Source organism: Homo sapiens, chromosome 2 (assembly GCF_000001405.40).
Source record: "Homo sapiens chromosome 2, GRCh38.p14 Primary Assembly".
Classification (NCBI taxonomy): Eukaryota; Metazoa; Chordata; class Mammalia; order Primates; family Hominidae; genus Homo; species Homo sapiens.
The window spans coordinates 222,005,168-222,008,636 of record NC_000002.12 but is presented as its reverse complement, the minus strand read 5'-3'; positions in this window follow the sequence as shown (position 1 = coordinate 222,008,636).

The following is a 3,469-nucleotide window of genomic DNA, read 5'->3' as shown; positions in this document are numbered from 1 at the left end:
GAGAATCAACCATTACTATTTTACTAGCCTGGGATATGGTTTATTTTACTGGCTTGGGATAGAGGTTTTTCCCAGGACCTGAAACTTCCCATATTTAAAATGGGGTCAGTCTCAGGCAATCTGAGATGGTTGGTTACCCTAGTTACCCTAGTTATAATTCTGGGGAAATTTAAATCCTGAAACTCAGGCCTCTCATCTTTAAAATGGTAAGTGATAATATAATAGGTACCTAATAGTGTCATTGTAAAAAAATTAATAACTTGGTTCATACAAAGTACATGAAACATGATGTAACAATGTGGAGGACACTTTATTTCCTTGACAACAGATTTCGCTCCCCCACCTGCCACACAAAAAAAGACTTATTGGTTAGGTGAATACTTAGGAAAGCAGGTAGAGGTGATGGTCTGGGGATATGGGTGAGAGAGAGTACGTGGTCCCTAAACTGCTTTCTAAGGAGGATTAGGTGTGGCAGCTGGCTGATTGTGTCTTGCTGAATGGACACAAAGCTGAGGACCTAGATAAGGGAATAACTTCTAGAAGCTCTGTGTGTAAAGGGAGTGGTATGATGAGAAGCAAAATGTTGAATATAGAAAAGGATGAGGCTTTCTGTCATATGTGATATATTCTTCTATGTCCCTGTGAAATTCTTTCTAAAAAATATACATGACTGCACTATGAATTTGCAGCTACATCTTCTTTTAGGGTGTGCTGATGAACAGTTCAACATCAATAAAGGCACAGGGTAAGAAGAGAAGCTGCCTTCTGAATGATAATAACAGTACTTACCTCATAGGCTTGTGGTTAGGATTAAATGAACTTATGTGTCTTATGTGACATGATGTCTATAGAAACTCATAGAACAATGCCTGACACATTTTAAGTACCCTGTAAATGTTAGTTATTATGATATTATTATTAGAATAGCGTATTCCCAACGAGCACTAATTTCCTTTCACCTCCTTTATGCTTGAGGCTTTCTCCTATACTTTATGCTTCCTTTTTTTTTTTTTTTGGTTTGGTCTTTTTTGAGACAAGGTCTGGCTCTGTTGCCCAGGCTGGAGTGCCTTGGTGCAATGACAACTCACTACAGCCTCAACCTCCTGGGCTCAAGTGATCTTCCCACCTCACAGCCTCCTGAGGAGCTGGAACTACAGGTGTTTGCCGCCACACCCGGCTAATTTTTTCTATTTTTTGTAGAGAAGGGATTTTGCCATGTAGCCCAGGCTGCTCCCAAACTCCTGAGCTCAAGCAATCCTCCTGCCTCGGCCTCTGAAAGTTCTGGGATTACTAGCGTGAGCCACTGTGCCCAGCCACTTCCCTGTTTTTAACTAGCTCTCAGTTTTGGATTAAAATCTAGACCCTGGTGTTGCAAAAACCTCAAAAGTCCTGTGTAATGTAACCCTTGTCTATGCTGGAGATATTGTCTCTCCTTGGCTCAGCAGGGTCCTGAGAAAGTCTTTTTCCCCCACACAGACCAAGGTTGGTTATTTTTAGAGGTCCCATTTTCACCTCAGGATTCCCAAGGCTTGGTCTCAGAGGTGGTTGATTCTAACTACTTGATTCTTTCTTTCTGCATTTGAGGAGAGGAGGTTAAAAAAAAAAGTTCAGGAAAATCATCCTTAGCTGACATATAGAGCAGGAAAAAGAAGTAATTTTTGGTGCTTATTGGAGTCTTGCATAGAAGCAGTCATTTGACCTACAAGATTTCACAGGTCAAGCTTCCACATTCAAGGCTTCATGAATAATTGAAGTATACGGATCTTTCCGTTAGAAAACCCACTTGATTTATTCAGCTTCAGGTTGTCTCACTTCTAGGTTATTCATTCAGGACTGCTTCCAGGTAAACCTGATAGCTTCAATTACCCAAACCCCACATCTGTGTGTTGGTGCCTATATATTTGAGTAATTTAAGGGGGGGCTCTTTGATTGAAACTCAGAATATCTTGAGATCATGTAAGAATCTTAAGTGTCTTGATATCCTACCTAAAACTACCTTTGTACAATGGCTAAATTATCACTAGACAGTTCCAGGATGCCTGCTGTTCAGAGCCCAAATACTGGTGAGTAAATCACACACAGTCAACAATGAAAACTCAAGCTAGACCTTTCGTGAGACCTCATGTCTACATTGGTGGATATGACCTCTAGGGACAGCCGGCACACACTTTTTGGAAAAAATAAACTTAAGATAACATTAGAAAGGAAATCTATCTAAACAATTGCCTCTACTGAATACTCTTTTTTTTTTCTTTTCTTTGTAGCACAATAGCTATCTAAAGATCCTTGCATAAGATTAGATGAGGTTACCCATTAATTCATGCTATTCAGTGTTTAATGTAGATAAAGTATTTTGGAGCCATAAAAATTCTCTTTAAATAGTAAACCTAATTCAACCATCAGGATCGTTTCCTCTGCTGTGTTAAAAATCAACCTGACTATTCATGCATGCTGAAAGTCAGAATTTATGACATCCCAGATAAACATGGAGATACAGAGGAATCTGTTAAAGACTTCCTTAGCTTGTACATAATAATATCAGAAATAAGTTTTGATAAATTTTAGTTATATAAAGTTATATGAAGAGTGAGACTAATGTTTTTCATGTGAGAAATATATCTATATCCAAATAGAAGTATTTATATACTATTCTTAATTACTTTCTGGTAAAGTCAGCCTAGCAGGTTTGCCTTACACAATAGTTCTATGGCTGATCTCTTTTTATTTTTTTAAAAACATATTTAGTTTGCATACCCCTTCTTCCTCAAAAAGGCAAACAATTTGTGTGTAATGAAATTTCACTTGCTATGGGAAGTTAAAGTTCTATTAAAAAGCAAACTGGAGAAGATAACAAAATGTATTTTCTGAGACTACATTTCATTTCTAAAAGGAACATGATTTTATCAAAAGCTCCATAATCAATTTTGATAAAAATAAAACACTAGAGATTAATTCACCTGGCACTTAAATCTGGAAATCAAATACATTTTTCCTTTTTCATTAGGACTCTGCATAGCTCAACATGTTTGGGAATACTAAATACTACTAAGCATTAAGAGAATGAGAAGACAAACCATAGAATGGGAGAAAATACTTGCAAAAGACACATCTGATAAAAAAACTGTTATCCAAAATATACAAAGAACATTTAAAACTCAACAATAAGAAAATGAACAACTTATTTAGAAAATGTGCAAAAGACCTGAGCAGGCACCTCGCTAAAGAAAATATACAAATGGCAAAGTGAGCGTATGAAAAGATGTTCAATATCATATGTCATTAGGGAATTGCAAATTAAGACAATAATATGATATAACCACATATCTATTAGAATGGTCAAAATCCAAAACATTGACAATACTGTGATGGTTAATACCGAGTGTCAACTTGATTGGATTGAAGGATACAAAGTATTGATCCTGGGTGTGTCTGTGAGGGTGTTGCCAAAGGAGATTAACATTTGTCAATG